This window comes from Homo sapiens, chromosome 3 (assembly GCF_000001405.40).
Source record: "Homo sapiens chromosome 3, GRCh38.p14 Primary Assembly".
Taxonomy (NCBI): Eukaryota; Metazoa; Chordata; class Mammalia; order Primates; family Hominidae; genus Homo; species Homo sapiens.
Genome location: NC_000003.12, coordinates 141659869 through 141675534, shown reverse-complemented (window position 1 = coordinate 141675534; position 15666 = coordinate 141659869). Strand labels below are relative to the sequence as shown.

The 15666-nt window shown below is 44.8% G+C and overlaps 1 pseudogene across 1 annotated transcript in view, besides 2 other annotated features; it reads right to left on the bottom strand.

The window, feature by feature from the left end:
- LRRC78P (leucine rich repeat containing 78, pseudogene) overlaps positions 1-12336 on the bottom strand; it is a 57876-nt pseudogene extending 45540 nt beyond the window's left edge. Inside the window, exons 1-2 of the transcript NR_136190.1 lie at positions 12264-12336; positions 8603-8755 (exon numbers count right to left, since the gene is read on the bottom strand). The product of NR_136190.1 is annotated as a leucine rich repeat containing 78, pseudogene (transcript). The remainder of the gene's footprint in view (positions 1-8602; positions 8756-12263) is intronic.
- Positions 10763-11282: an enhancer, noted in NCBI's record as "H3K4me1 hESC enhancer chr3:141383095-141383614 (GRCh37/hg19 assembly coordinates)". NCBI's record gives its function as "activates a minimal SCP1, AML or CMV promoter by ChIP-STARR-seq in naive H9 embryonic stem cells {active_cell/tissue: H9 hESC(naive)}" and the evidence as "EXISTENCE:reporter gene assay evidence [ECO:0000049][PMID:30033119]".
- Positions 11283-11803: an enhancer, noted in NCBI's record as "H3K4me1 hESC enhancer chr3:141382574-141383094 (GRCh37/hg19 assembly coordinates)". NCBI's record gives its function as "activates a minimal SCP1, AML or CMV promoter by ChIP-STARR-seq in naive H9 embryonic stem cells {active_cell/tissue: H9 hESC(naive)}" and the evidence as "EXISTENCE:reporter gene assay evidence [ECO:0000049][PMID:30033119]".
- Positions 12337-15666: the final 3330 nt, after the last annotated feature.

The window sequence follows — 15666 nt, the reverse complement described above, 5'->3', positions numbered from 1 at the left end:
AGTGTCTGTTCATACCCTTCGCCCACTTTTTGATGGGGTTGTTTGATTTTTTCCTGTAAATTTGTTTAAGTTCTTTGTAGATTCTGGATACTAACCCTTTGTCAGATGGGTAGATTGCAAAAATTTTCTCCCATTCTGTAGGTTGCCTGTTCACTCTGATGGTAGTTTCTTTTGCTATGCAGAAGCTCTTTAGTTTAATTAGATCCCATTTGTCAATTTTGACTTTTGTTGCCATTGCTTTTGGTGTTTTAGATGTGAAGTCCTCGCCCATGCCTGTGTCCTGAATGGTATTGCCTAGATTTTCTTCTAGGGTTTTTATGATTTTAGGTCTAACATTTAAGTCTTTAATCCATCTTGAATTAATTTTTGTATAAGGTGTAGGGAAGGAATCCAGTTTCAGCTTTCTACATATAGCTAGCCAGTTTTCCCAGCATCATTTATTAAATAGGGAATCCTTGCCCCATTTCTTGTTTTTGTCAGGTTCGTCAAAGATCAGATGGTTGTAGATGTGTGGTATTATTTCTGAGGGCTCTGTTCTGTTCCATTGGTCTATATCTCTGTTTTGGTACCAGTACCATGCTGTTTTGGTTACTGTAGCCTTGTAGTATAGTTTGAAGTGAGGTAGCATGATGCCTCCAGCTTTGTTATTTTGGCTTAGGATTGTCTTGGCAATGTGGGCTCTTTTTTGGTTCCATATGAACTTTAAAGTAGTTTTTTTTCCAATTCTGTGAAGAAAGTCTTTGGTAGCTTGATGGGGATGGCATTGAATCTATAAATTACCTTGGGCAGTATGGCCATTTTCATGATATTGATTCTTCCTATCCATGAGCATGGAATGTTCTTCCATTTGTTTGTGTCCTCTTTTATTTCGTTGAGCAGTGGTTTGTAATTCTCCTTGAAGAGGTCCTTCATATCCCTTGTAAGATGGATTCCTAGATATTTTATTCTCTTTGAAGCAATTGTGAATGGGAGTTCACTCATGATTTGGCTCTCTGTTTGTCTGTCATTGGTGTATTGGAATGCTTGTGATTTTTGCACATTGATTTTGTATCCTGAGACTTTGCTGAAGTTGCTTATCAGCTTAAGGAGATTTTGGGCTGAGACGATGGGGTTTTCTAAATATACAATCACATCATCTGCGAACAGGGACAATTTGACTTCCTCTTTTCCTAATTGAATACCTTTATTTTTTTCTCCTGCCTGATTGCCCTGGCCAGAACTTCCAACACTGTGTTGAATAGGAGTGATGAGAGAGGGCATCCCTGTCTTGTGCCAGTTTTCAAAGGGAATGCTTCCAGTTTTGCCCATTCAGTATGATATTGGGTGTGGGTTTGTCATAAATAGCTCTTATTATTTTGAGATACGTTCCATCAATACCTAATTTATTGAGAGTTTTTAGCATGAAGGGCTGTTGAATTTTGTCGAAGGCCTTTTCTGCATCTGTCGAGATAATCATGTGGTTTTTGTCTTTGGTTCTGTTTATATGCTGGATTACATTTATTGATTTGCGTATGTTGAACCAGGCTGGCATCCCAGGGATGAAGCTCACTTGATCATGGTGGAAAAGCTTTCTGAGGTGCTGCTGGATTTGGTTTGCCAGTATTTTATTGAGGATTTTTGCATCGATGTTCATCAGGGATATTGCTCTAAAATTCTCTTTTTTTTGATGTGTCTCTGCCAGGCTTTGGTATCAGGATGATGCTGGCCTCATAAAATGAGTTAGGGAGGAGTCCCTCTTTTTCTATTGATTGGAATAGTTTCAGAAGGAATGGTGCCAGCTCCTCCTTGTACCTCTGGTAGAATTTGGCTGTGAATCTGTCTGGTCATGGACTTTATTTAGTTGGTAGGCTATTAATTATTGCCTCAATTTCAGAGCCTGATATTGGTCTATTCAGGGATTCAACTTCTTCCTGGTGTAGTCTTGGGAGGGTGTATGTGTCCAGGAATTTATCCATTTCTTCTAGATTTTCTAGTTTATTTGCATAGAGGTGTTTATGGTATTCTCTGATGGTAGTTTGTATTTCTTTGGGATCAGTGGTGATATCCCTTTTATCATTTTTTATTTCGTCTATTTGATTCTTCTCTCTTTTCTTCTTTATTAGTCTTGCTAGCGGTCTATCAATTTTGTTGATCTTTTCAAAAAACCAGCTCCTGGATTCATTGATTTTTTGAAGGGTTCTTTGTGTCTCTATCTCCTTCAGTTCTGCTCTGATCTTAGTTATTTCTTGCCTTCTGCTAGCTTTTGAATGTGTTTGCTCTTGCTTCTCTAGTTCTTTTACTTGTGATGTTAGGGTGTCAATTTTAGATCTTTCCTGCTTTCTCTTGTGGGCATTTAGTGCTATAAATTTCCCTCTACACACTGCTTTAAATGTGTCCCAGAGATTCTGGTATGTTGTGTCTTTGTTCTCACTGATTTCAAAGAACATCTTTATTTCTGCCTTCATTTTGTTATGTACCCAGTAGTCATTCAGGAGCAGGTTGTTCAGTTTCCATGTAGTTGTGTGGTTTGAGTAAGTTTCTTAATCCTGAGTTCTAGTTTGATTGCACTGTGGTCTGAGAGACAGTTTGTTATAATTTCTATTCTTTTACATTTGCTGAGGAGTGCTTTACTTCCAACTATGTGGTCAATTTTGGAATAAGTGCAATGTGGCGCTGAGAAGAATGCATATTCTGTTGATTTGGGGTGGAGAGTTCTGTAGATGTCTATTAGGTCCGCTTGGTGCAGAGCTGAGTTCAATTCCTAGATATCCTTGTTAACTTTCTGTCTCGTTGATCTGTCTAATGTTGACAGTGGGGTGTTAAAGTCCCATTAATATTGTGTGGGAGTGTAAGTCTCTTTGTAGGTCTCTAAGGACTTGCTTTGTGAATCTGTGTGCCTCTGTATTGGGTGCATATATATTTAGGATAGTTAGCTCTTCTTGTTGAATTGATCCCTTTACCATTATGTAATGGCCTTCTTTGTCTCTTCTGATCTTTGTTGGTTTAAAGTCTGTTTTATCAGAGACTAGGATTGCAACCCCTGCTTTTTGTTTTGTTTTGTTTTCCATTTGCTTGGTAGATCTTCCTCCATCCCTTTATTTTGAGCCTGTGTGTGTCTCTGCATGTGAGATGGGTCTCCTGAATACAGCACACTGATGGGTCTTGACTCTTTATCCAATTTGCCAGTCTATGTCTTTTAATTGGAGCATTTAGCCCATTTACATTTAAGGTTAATATTGTTATGTGTGAATTTGATCCTGTCATTATGATGTTAGCTGGTTATTTTGCTCATCAGTTGATGCAGATTCTTCCTAGCATCGATGGTCTTTACAATTTGGCATGTTTTTGCAGTGGCTGGTACCAGTTGTTCCTTTCTATGTTTAGTGCTTCCTTCAGGAGCTCTTGTAAGGCAGGCCTGGTGGTGACAAAATCTCTCAGCATTTGCTTGTCTGTAAAGGATTTTATTTCTCCTTCACTTATGAAGCTTAGTTTGGCTGGACATGAAATTCTGGGTTGAAAATTCTTTCCTTATTGCAGGGACAAAAAACCAAACACTGCATGTTCTCACTCATAGGTGGGAATTGAACAATGAGAACACTTGGACACAGGAAGGGGAACATCACACACCAGGGCCTGTCATGGGGTTGAGGGAGCGGGGAGGGATAGCATTAGGAGATATACCTAATGTAAATGATGAGTTAATGGGTGCAGCACACCAACATGGTACATGTATACATATGTAACAAACCTGCACATTGTGCACATGTACCCTAGAACTTAAAGTACAAAAAAAAAAAAAAAAAAAAAAGAATGTTGAGTATTGGCCCCCACTCTCTTCTGGCTTGTGGAGTTTCTGCCAAGAGATCCACTGTCAGTCTGATGAGCTTCCCTTTGTGGGTAACCTGACCTTTCTCTCTGGCTGTCCTTAACATTTTTCCTTCATTTCAACTTTGGTGAATCTGACAATTATGTGTCTTGGAGTTGCTCTTCTTGAGGAGTATCTTTGTGGCGTTCTCTGTATTTCCTGAATTTGAATGTTGGCCTGCCTTGCTAGGTTGAGGAAGTTCTCCTGGGTAATATCCTGAAGAGTGTTTTCCAACTTGGTTCCATTCTCCCTGTCACTTTCAGGTACACCAATCAGACATAGATTTGGTCTTTTCACATAGTCCTATATTTCTTAGAGGCTTTGTTCATTTCTTTTTACTCGTTTTTCTCTGAACTTCTCGCTTCATTTCATTTATTTGATCTTCAATCACTGATACCCTTTCTTCCAGTTGATCAAATCGGCTACTGAAGCTTGTGCATGTGTCACGTAGTTCTTGTGCCATGGTTTTCAGCTCCATCTGGTCATTTAAGGTCTCTACACTGTTTATTCTAGTTAGCCATTTGTCTAATCTTTTTTCAAGGTTTTTAGCTTCTTTGCGATGGGTTCGAACATCCTCCTTTAGCTCGGAGAAGTTTGTTATTACCGATCGTCTGAAGCCTTCTTCTCTCAACTCGTCAAAGTCATTCTCCATCCAGCTTCGTTCTGTTGCTAGTGAGGAGCTGTATTTCTTGAGAGGAGAAGAGGCGCTCTGATTTTTAGAATTTTCAGCTTTTCTGCTCTGGTTTCTCCCCATCTTTGTGGTTTTATCTACCTTTGGTCTTTGATGATGGTGACGTACAGGTGGGATTTTGGTGTGGATGTCCTTTCTGTTTGTTGGTTTTCCTTCTAACAGTCAGGACCCTCAGCTGCAGGTCTGTTGAAGTTTGCTGGAGGTCCACTACAGACCCTGTTTGCCTGGGTATCAGCAGCAGAGGCTGCAGAACAGCAAATATTGCTGAACAGCAAATGTTGCTGTCTGTTTGTTCCTCTGGAAGCTTTGTCTCAGAGGGGTACCAGGCCGTATGAGGTGTCAGTCGGTCCCTACTGAGAGGTGCCTCCCAGTTAGGCTACTGGGGGGTCAGGGACCCACTTGAGGAGGCCGTCTGTCTGTTCTCAGATCTCAAACTCTGTGCTGGGAGAGCCACTACTCTCTTCAAAGCTGTCAGACAGGGACGTTTAAGTCTGCAGAAGTTTCTGCTGCCTTTTGTTCAGCAATGCCCTGCCCCCAGAGGTGAAGTCTACAGAGGCAGGCAGGCCTCCTTGAGCTGTGGTTGGCTCCATCCAGTTCGAGCTTCCTGGTTGCTTTGTTTACCTACTCAAGCCTCAGCAATGGCGGATGCCCCTCCCCCAGCCTCATTGCCACCTTGCAGTTGGATCTCAGTCTGCTGTGCTAGCAATGAGCAAGGCTCTGAGGGCATGGGACCATCCGAGCCATGCGCAGGATATAATCTCCTGGTGTGCCATTTGCTAAGACCATTGGAAAAGTGCAGTATTAGGGTGGGAGTGACCTGATTTTCCAGGTGCTGTCTGTCACGGCTTCCCTTGGTTAGGAAAGGGAATTCCCTGACCCCTTGTGCTTCCCGGGTGAGGCGATGCCTCACCCTGCTTTGGCTCACGCTCTGTGGGCTGCACCCACTGTCCTGCACCCACTGTCCGACAAGCCCCAGTGAGATGAACCTGGTGCCTCAGTTGGAAATGCAGAAATCACCCGTCTTCTTTGTCGCTCACCCTGGGAGCTGTAGACTGGAGCTGTTCCTATTTGGCCATCTTGGAGCCCCCTTAAGTTCTATAAGAAAGCCATTTTCATGGCTCTTTGATTCTTCCTGCACCTCCAACCTTCTATCTGGGATCATTTTTCTTTGAAGAATGTGCTTTAGTATGTCTTTTAGGGAAGATCTGCTTGTGACAAATTCTTCCAGTTTCTGTTGGTCTGACAATGTCTTTGTTTCACTTCCATTTTTGAAAACTATTTTTGTTGGGCATAGAATTCTTAGTTGGCATTTTCCCTCCAGCATTTTGAAGATATTCTATTGGTAACTGACTTCCATTGTTTCTGTTGAAAAGTCAGATGCCAGTTTTATTGCAGCTCCTTTGAAGGTAATGTGTGATTTCACTGACTAATTTTAATATTTTCTCTTTCTCTTTGGTCTTTAATAGTGTTATTATGATGTTTCTAAATTTTCTTTGTGTTTAACCTTCTTGGGATTAATAACTCTATTTGAATTTGTGGTTTATGTCTTTTGCCAGTTTAGTTAAGTATTGCTTTTGTCCCATTCTCATTCTCCTCTCCTTCTGGGACTTCAATTACACATATGTTGATTATCTCACTTATCTACTATGTCTGCCTCTTTTTTTTTTGTTTTGTTTTTGAGACAAGGTCTTGCTCTGTTGTCCAGGTTGGAGTGCAATGGTGTGGTCATGGCTCACTGTAGCCTCCACCTCCTGAGCTTAAGCAATCTTCCTGTCTCTGCTTCCTGAGTAGCTGGGACTACAGGTATGTGCCACCACATCTGGCTCATTAATTTTTTTTTTTTTTTTTTTTTTTTAGAGAGGAGGTCCTGTTATGTTGCTCAGGCAGGTCTCAAACTCATGGCCTCAAGTGTTACTCCCACTTTGGCCTCCCAAAATGCTGGGATTACAGGCACAAGCCACAGTGACCAGCTTATCTACTTATGTCTCTTACCTTTTCTTCTGACTTTTCTTTCTTTTGTTATTTCATGCTTCATTCTTTCTTCATATTTTCTTCTGATCTGTCCTTATTTTACTAATTATCTCTCTACATCTATCAAAAATGCTGTTAAACCCATTTATTAAGATTTTAGGGTGGGCATGGCCATTCATGACTGTAACCCCAGCACTTTGGGAGGCCATGGCAGATGGATCACCTGAGGTCAGGAGTTCGAGACCAGCCTAGCCAAAATGGCAAAACCCTGTCTCTACTAAAAATCCAAAAGTTAGCCGGGCTTGATGGCACATGCCTGTGGTCCCATCTACTGGGGAGGCCGAGGCAGGGGAATCACTTGAACCTGGAAGGTGGAGGCTGCAATGAGCCAAGATCATGCCACTGCACTCCAGCCTGGGCAATGGAGTGAAACTCTGTCTCAAAAACAAACAAACAAACAAACAAAACTCCACAAACTTGTTTACAGGTGTAATTTGTAATTTGAGGCATAAGACATTATAATTGTCTTTCAGGGGGTATTTTCATATGCGTCTGGACCCATGAGGGCACCAGCAATCCAGGCTCCTTCAATCTAATTTCGGGACTTGAGATTATCAGAAATCAATCTATAGTCCCTTGAGGACCTGTCTACCTGCAGTTTGGCTTTGTTCTTAGGCTGTGGCCCTTCATGGTCTCAAATCAAAGCACAAGAAAGTTTATTAGGGCTTCCCCAGAAAGTCAGTGTCTCCTAGCACTGGAAAGATTGTCAAAAGCTCTGTTAAGTTTCTCAGCTTCTCAGCTGCCTTCTAACAAATCAAATGCTTGTAGGGATAATTGCCTCTGTGATGTTCTCCTCCCTGGGTCTCCTCCCAGCCTCTCTTGGATTCCTTGCCTAATATGTATGTACATATGTATGTATGTGTGTGTGCATGTGTTTGTGTGTGTGTCTTCAGTGAAAGGGTTGGTGTGAATTATCTGATTTGCACTTTTCAGAAGTAAAGTCCTATATATGACTTCTCACTAGTAATAATAGAATTTTTTTTTTTAAATAGTTAATCTGCCGGGTGCTGAGGTTGGTGGATCACCTGAGACTGGGAGTTTGAGACCAGCCTGGCCAACATAGTGAAACTCTGTCTCTACTAAAAATACAAAAATTGGCTGGACATGGTGGCTCATGCCTGTAATCCCAGCACTTTGGGAGGCCGAGGCGTGTAGATCACCTGAGGTCAGGAGTTCAAGATGAGCCTGGCCAACATGGCGAAACCCCGTCCCTACTAAAAACACAAAAATTAGCCAGGCATGGTGGCAAATGCCTGTAGTCTCAGCTACTTGGGAGGCTGCAGCAGGACAATCGCTTGAACCTGGGAGGCAGAGGTTTCAGTAAGCCGAGCTCACACCACTGCACTCCAACCTGGGTGACAGAGCAAGGCTCCATCTCAAAAACAAAAACAAAAAAAAACAAACACAACAAAAATTAGCCAAGTGTGGTGGTGGGTGCCTGTAATCCCAGGTACTGGGGAGGCTGAGGCAGGAGAATTGCTTGAACCTGGGAGGCGGAGGTTGCAGTGAGCTGAGATCATGCCACTGCACTTCAGCCTGGGCAACAGAGTGAGACTCTGTCTCAAAAAAAAAAAAAATTAATCTATAATTATATATCCAGCCAAACTATCTTTCAAGAATGAAGGTTATGTATTATATGGTAGCAGTCGAAATTTATAAACATGGAGAAATCTTGACAACATAATGAGAGTAAAAGAGTGAGTCACAAAATCATACACACAGTGTAATTCCATTTTTGCAAATAAACACATGCATGCATATGTAATAATATATTTGTCAATATCTGCAAATTTTGTGCCTTTAAAAAAATATATTATATTTGGGTCATGGGTCCATGGATGTCAGTTCTAATATTTTCTCCATTTTTATGTTTGAAATATTTAACTTAAAATATAGTGTTGGTTTTTGTTTTGTTTTAGAGAAAATCTTGTAGCATATCAGTCAGTAACCACATGAACTACAGCTGGAACACATGATATAATATGCTTATATTCAATTTTAAGGTTTGAAGAAATATTTTTAAAACCATAACTCACAAGTCTGGCAATCTCTGGGTTGCTCAGTTGAAGGCCCCAGATGCAGATCTCTTTCGCCAGTGTGTAATGCTCATCTTGAATGGTCATGAGCAAAGGTTCCAAGGAAACTGGTAGGATTCTTGGTGGGGAGTCATTGGGTCTTACAAGCATAAACTGGAGTGTAAGAAAAAAACAGGATCACGGTGGATATCATAAAGAGAAGTCTATGTGGAAAAGGAATACTCTTATTAGACAACAACATTAGAAGAATATTTAAAATAGTATTAACTTTGGGCCGGGCATGGTGGCTCATGCCTGTAATCCCAGCACTTTGGGTGGCCCAGGTGGGCGGATCACCTGAGGTCAGGAGTTCGAGACCAGCCTGACCAACATGATGAAAAATTAGCCTGGCATGGTGGCGCACACCTGTAGTCCTAGCTACTCAGGAGGCTGAGGCAAGAGAATTGCTTGAACGTGGGAGGAGGAGGTTCCAGTAAGCCAAGACATGCAACGGCACTCCAGCCTGGGTGACAGAGCAAGACTCTGTCTCAAAAAAAAAAAAAAAGTAGTATTAACTTTGGATCAAGTGTGCATTGAGGTGGTAATTAAAGACAAACTTATGAAGTTCCAGCCATGTACAAAGCTCCATGGAAAGTCCTATAGGGCAGAGATTTTTCTAGCAGGTTACCCAGTGTTATTGGGTCAGAAAATCAGTCTAATTAGTTGCAACCAGCCCTTCCTTCCCTCCTTCCTTCCTTCCTTCCCTCCTTCCTTCCTTACATCCTTCCATACTTGCTTACTTCCTTCCTCCCTCCCTTCCGTCCTTTCTACTCTCCGCCCTCCCTTCCTTCCTCCCTTCCTCCCTCCCTCCCTTCCTCCCTCCCTCCCTCCCTTCCTTCCTCCCTCCCTTCCTCCCTCCCTCCCTTCCTCCCTCCCTCCCTCTCCTTTCCTTCCTTCCTTCCTTCCTTGCCTCCTTCCTTCATTGTCTCCTTCCTTCCTTCCTTCCTTCCTCCCTCCCTTCCTTCCTTTCTACTCTCCGTCCTCCCTCCCTTCCTTCCTTTCTACTCTCCGTCCTCCCTTCCTTCCTCCCTTCCTCCCTTCCTCCCTCCCTCCCTTCCTCCCTCCCTCCCTTCCTCCCTCCCTCCCTTCCTCCCTCCCTCCCTTCCTCCCTCCCTTCCTCCCTCCCTCCCTCTCCTTTCCTTCCTTCCTTCCTTCCTTGCCTCCTTCCTTCATTGTCTCCTTCCTTGCTTCCTTCTTCCCTCCCCCTCCTTTCCTTCCTTCCTTCCTTCTTCCTCTTTCCTTCCTTCCTTTCTCCCTCCCTCCCTTCCTCCCTCCCTCTCCTTTCCTTCCTTCCTTCCTCCCTCCCTCCCCTCCTTTCCTTCCTTCTTCCTTCTTTCCTTCCTTCCTTCCTTGCCCCCTCCTCTCCCCTCTCCTTCCTTCCTTCCTTCCTCTCTTCCTTCCTTCCTTTCTTCCTACAGAGTCTCACTCTGTCACCCAGACTGGAGTACAGTGGGGTGATCATAGCTCACTGCAGCCTCCAGCTCCCAGGCTCAAGCTCCTACCTCAGCCTCCCAAGCAGCTGGGACTACAGGTGGGTGACACCACACTTGGCTAATTTTTTAATTTTTTGTAGAGACGAGTCTCACCATGTTGCCCAGGCTGGTCTCAAACTCCTGGCCTCAAGCAACCCTCCCACCTCAGCCTCCCAAAGTTCTGGGACTATAGACATGAGCCACCACACCCAGCCTCTTTTTTCTTCTTTAACAAAATAGAAAAGAAGGGAAATTGTCTGAGTGCCTCTTATGGAGTAAAAATAATAATGATTATCTCATGAGACTTTTATTTTAATGATATTCAGAATCATAATGGAGACCCTACCCAAGCAACCCACACAATATAAACAGCCTTTATGGTGGTACTGATGCATGCTGATACCTACACATGGGGTCATGATGTTAATTGTATTTATGACAGTGATTGCAGTGAAAAAAATAATTGAATATTGCTGAAGGGACTGGTTTGAACAAGTTACGATTAGCCCTTATAATTAAGTAGCGGAGGCTGATTATAAGAACTGGAGTTTTAAAAAAATGACTTAGGAACAATTTTACCACAAAAGGGCTGGTTCTGGGAAGGTCCTCCATTGGGATGAGCGGGGAGACATGGCAGGGACCCCAGCAAAGGCACTGTGAAAGTAAGGATTAGAGAGACTGGGAAAGGCGGATGAGGGATGGCAGAGTGGAAGAGGTGCTGGGTGGAAGGAGGCTTGGGGGAAGGAAGGGAGAGAGGGAGCCCCAGCTGGGGAGCTGGAAGTTCAGAGTACAAAGTGAAGAGTTGGGGCCTGGCCCAGATGTGTTTGGGGTGCCAGGCTCCCCCATCTGATCTGTCAGGTGCCCACTTCCCAAGTTACCCATTTCATCTCAATGCTGACCTCTCCTCTCCTCTTTCCCCCTCACATCCAAGCCCTAGATTTAATCTTAGAAAAGATACGACATCAGAATATTTTCTGAAACCCAGTGCTTTTGGAGTCAGAATTCTGATTGCTGGTCTCACTCCAAGTGAGCCGGCCTCAGGAGGGGAGGCATGGGCGAGACCAGGTCTGACCTCACGGCAGGGACGCATTGGCAGCCAAGAGAAGGAGGCCCTCACTTGGAGGGGTCAGTGGGGGTGGCTGGAGTGCCGGGAGCAGAGGTCCTGCGGTGATGACCAAAGTGCTGACTTTCAAGCTGGGCCTTCCAGATGTGGAGGAGGGGCCGGTGGCCCTTCCAGGGAAGTGGTGTGAGAACAGGCCCTCTGGAAGGGATGGGAGGGGCAGCCATGTAGGTCAAAGGGGGAATGGAGGAGAAGGGCTGAGCAGGCAAGCCGGGCTTTGCACTCCACTCAGTCAGGAATGCAGAGTGGATGACACAGCCAGCTCTGGGCTTGCAAGTGAAACCACCTTTGCAAAAATTATAACTGAGAAAATTATGGCAGTGAAAGAAATCTGACCTAACCAACTCCTTCTTGCTTTTAACCTTCAAAATGTCCTTGCGCATTCCTGGGCACAGGCCAGAATAACTTGGGGAGGAACTTAGTTTATGTTAATAGATTAACTTCGAAACAAAGACAATAACAACCCTTTCCCAAAACAAATCCCCTTCTTGACTAGGGACTAGACTGTCTTTGCAGGACTAACAAATTAGCCACAAGATTAGAAATTATGGTTTAGGAGTCACTGTTGTAAAACCTGAGATCAGTGCTTGAGACAGTTTGCAGACCCTGTGTTCCAAAGCACCAGCTGGTGCCACTCAGATGGGTAAGATGGCTCATCTGGTCTTGTGGACCCTACCCAGGAACTGACTCAGTGCAAGAGGACAGCTTCAACTCCCTATGATTTCATCTTCAACCCGACAAATCAGCATTCCCCACCTTGTGACCCCCTACCCACCAAATTACCCTTAAAAACCTCAATCCTGAATTTTCAGAGAGTTTGATTTGAGTGATAACTTCATCTTTTACATGGCGTGGCTGGCCTGGTGTCAATCAAACTCTTTTTTACTACAATGCTGTGGTCTTTATTTGTGCAGCGGGCAGAAAGAACCCCTTGGGAGGTTACACAAGGACCGAGTACCCATGTGGCTTGGGAGTAAACCCTAGCCAGTTCATTTCAGAGAAGAATAAGAAAACAAGACCATACACTCACCTTCCTGAGCACCTGGTCACTGTCAATGCTGCTTTTCAGGTCACTTTTGATGGCTGGACACACGGACGTCTGAGACTGCGCACAGTGTTTCTCATATGTTTTCAGAAACTTTTGAAGAATCAAAACGATGGGCAGGGGTGCCCCTTTAGATTTTTGTTTTCCTTCATTTGCTCTTGGCATTGTTTTATAGTGTTAGATTTCACTTGGATTCTGAAAACAGTAACTTGCCCTGAAACCCAACATACAGGTGTCTTTTTAAGGAGCAGAACATACTTCCTCCACTAAAAATATTAGGAAAATATTGCTGCATACCCTTCTCTGAAAATCTTGAAGTGCTTCATTTATCTTAAAATGGGACTAAGGAGTCAAAATGGAGACCATTGAAAGGAATTGTTCAATTTCCAATTTCCCTACTCATGGGTCCATATCCTTCTTTTAGATTCTTCAAAATAGGGGCAATGCCCACTGGAACTTAGTTATAAAGGAATGCAATTAACATTTATACTGGTTACTAAAAATTACCAAGAACATACTGGTTTTTAAATGGCATAGTTCCCTTTACAGACACAATTCTTGCCAGACAGTAATATATCATAGTGGTTAAGAATGTGGATTTGGAGATGACTGGGTCTGGACTTTAGTCTTGTCTCTACCACTTGACCCACTGGGTAGCCTTAGATAAATTATGAAGCCTCTTCACGTTTCCATTTCCCCATCTGTAAAATGGATTATGGGCCAGAGTGAAGTTTTTGAAATGTAAATCAGGTCATATGACTCTTCTACTTAAATCTCTCCAATGGCTTCCCACTACATTTATCTTTACTGAATTTATCACATGCATATTCTACCAGTTATTAAGAGAGTGAACGTGAATTTGTCTAACTTTGCTATTAATTCTGCCAACATTTGTTTTATATATTTTAAAGCTATGTTATTAGGTGTCTATACATTTAGAACTGATAAATCTTCCTGAGGAGTCTACTCTTTTGTTATTATGTAATATTCCTGTTTATCTCTAGTAATGCTTTGCACTTTCAAGCCATGGTTCCCATACTACACTGAGGCGCTTCGGGGCACTGCCACAGATTTACAGGGCACTGTAGGATAATTTAAAATTTCAAGAGAAAGCCAACAACATCTGTTAGATGTCATGTGAATTATTAGCTGGAAGAATTTTACAATTTCAAATTAGATCACACTTGTATTCGTATCCTATTTTTACATAGCAAATGACCCCATCATGGGTGAAAAGCATTCTGGAAAGGGGAATGAACCCAGTGGAATGTAGAGACATTCAGATACTAGGGTAAGGGAAAATCACAATATCATAGTTCTGGTTGGGACTTTACAGATTGTCTAATCCAGGATGTTGAATGCTAAAAACAGAAAAGCACTAGGCAAACCAGGATCACTGTTAACTCTAGCAGTCCTCCTCCACTCACGGCCATCTCCCAGGTGTCCTCTCAGAAGTCTGTACTCCAGTCTGCTGCCACAGAGCAACCAGACTTGGCAGCTACAGAAAACTGTTTATTGGGCAAGGTCAACCTTTTTTTGGTGCAGTGGTGCAATCACAGCTCACTGTAACCTTGATCTTCTGGGCTCAAGGAAGGAAAAGAAGGGACTTACTTCAGCTGAAAACAGAACTGGGTCTCCTGACTCCCAGGACTGTTTCAGGCACAAAGACATGGGCCATAAGAGCACACAGAGAATGGCCGGGCACGGTAGCCCCAGTCTCTACTAAAAATACAAAAAATTAGCTGGGCATGGTGGCATGTGCCTGTAATCCCAGCTACTCCGGAGCCTGAGGCAGGAGAATCGCTTGGACCTGGGAGGCGGAGGTTGCAGTGAGCAGAGATGGCGTCACTGCACTCCAGACTGGGCGACAGAGCAAGACTCCTTCTCAAAAAAAAAAAAAAAAAAAAAGCACCCAGAGAAATTGCGACACCCCCCACTGCAGGCCAAGAGGAGTGCCCTCTGAATGAAACCCACCTCAACGGCAGCTTGATCTCAGACTTCCAGTCTCCAGAACTGTAAGAAAATTCTGTGGTTTAAAGTACCCGGTCTATGGTATTTCGTCATGGCAGCCCAAGCTAAGACAGGTAGTATACAGTATTACTGCTCACATTATGGATTATTCCTCACCAGCATTTAAAGTATTTACAGATGCACAAACTACCCACATAGATTCTGCAAATGCTCTAATAAGACACTTTTGAATCTTGAGTTTTTCACTTAATGTTTTATCACGAGAATTTATGTCATTTTTATATACAGTAAATGCTCAGGTTGGCAAATATCTAGGCACTTCAAAGCCAGCATTGATTGAATCATTAATGAATATTTATTGAAGGTCTAAGGTATATGTGTCCCGCCCTGTGCTAGGTTTTACTTGTCTTTTCTGAAAGTGACTCTCCCTCCCCAGTGTCCTGGAGACAGTGTGGGGACAGCGTGGGTGCCGGAGGAGGGGCTGAGAGTGGAGGTGGCCGGACCCTGCCCTCTGTCCCGAGGGGATGTGGAGGGCCCCCCTCTGGGTCCCTTGCCCGCCCAGCTTGGACAGCTCCTGGTCCACCTCGGAGTCCCAGGGGACATGGAGAGGGCCTGCAAGGAGAGGCTGCTTTGCGCTCCCTCTCCAAGGCTCCCGTGCTTTTAATATATTTCCCTAGAGAATCCTAGCTGCTCACCCTGAGGCCGGGAAAAGCCCAGCTGCGTGCACTCTTCCCCGCCCCCGCCCTGGGGCTGTGCGGGTGCATAGGGGAGAGAATAGGGGTTGCGAGCACCATGGTCTCCAGGGAGCCTCGCTCCTGGGATCAAGCATTTCTCCTGGAGCTGGGGCAACCTCCTCCGGCCCCTGCCCGCCCCGCCGGGCGCCCGCACTCACTCGCTCTCACTCTCCCTGCGTCCCGGGCCGGCTGCCCGCGTGGCGTCCGGCGCCCTGGAGACTGCGGCGAGGGGCGGAGGCTGGAGGGACTGTGGCCACCCAGGGCGCCGGCGCCGGGGAGACAGCGGGAGCTGGAGGAGGAGGCAGGTGGCGGCGGGAAGCAGTGTCAGGACTGGTCGGAACTCGGGCTCGGGCTCGGGCTTGGATTTGGAGAAACTGAGAAATCCTGGTGTCCTCGCTGCAGGTCAAACTTGTCGCAGCCAACGTCGCTGCGAGGGACGCTGCCTGGCAGGGAACAGGGGAAGTTGAGGAAGGCGGACCGGCGTCCCTGTTCATCAGTGGGGAATCTTGGGGAGACAGAGGCCTCCGAAGCGTGGACGCTCCAGCCTGTTGCCGCCGCTCCCAAGGCCGCCGTGGACCAGCCCTGGAGCCGCTAACACGATTTCCCAGGGAGCCGCGTCCCCGCATCACCCAGCAGGAGCTGCAGGCGACAGGGACGCTCTCGCCGTCCCGCCCGGTCCTCTC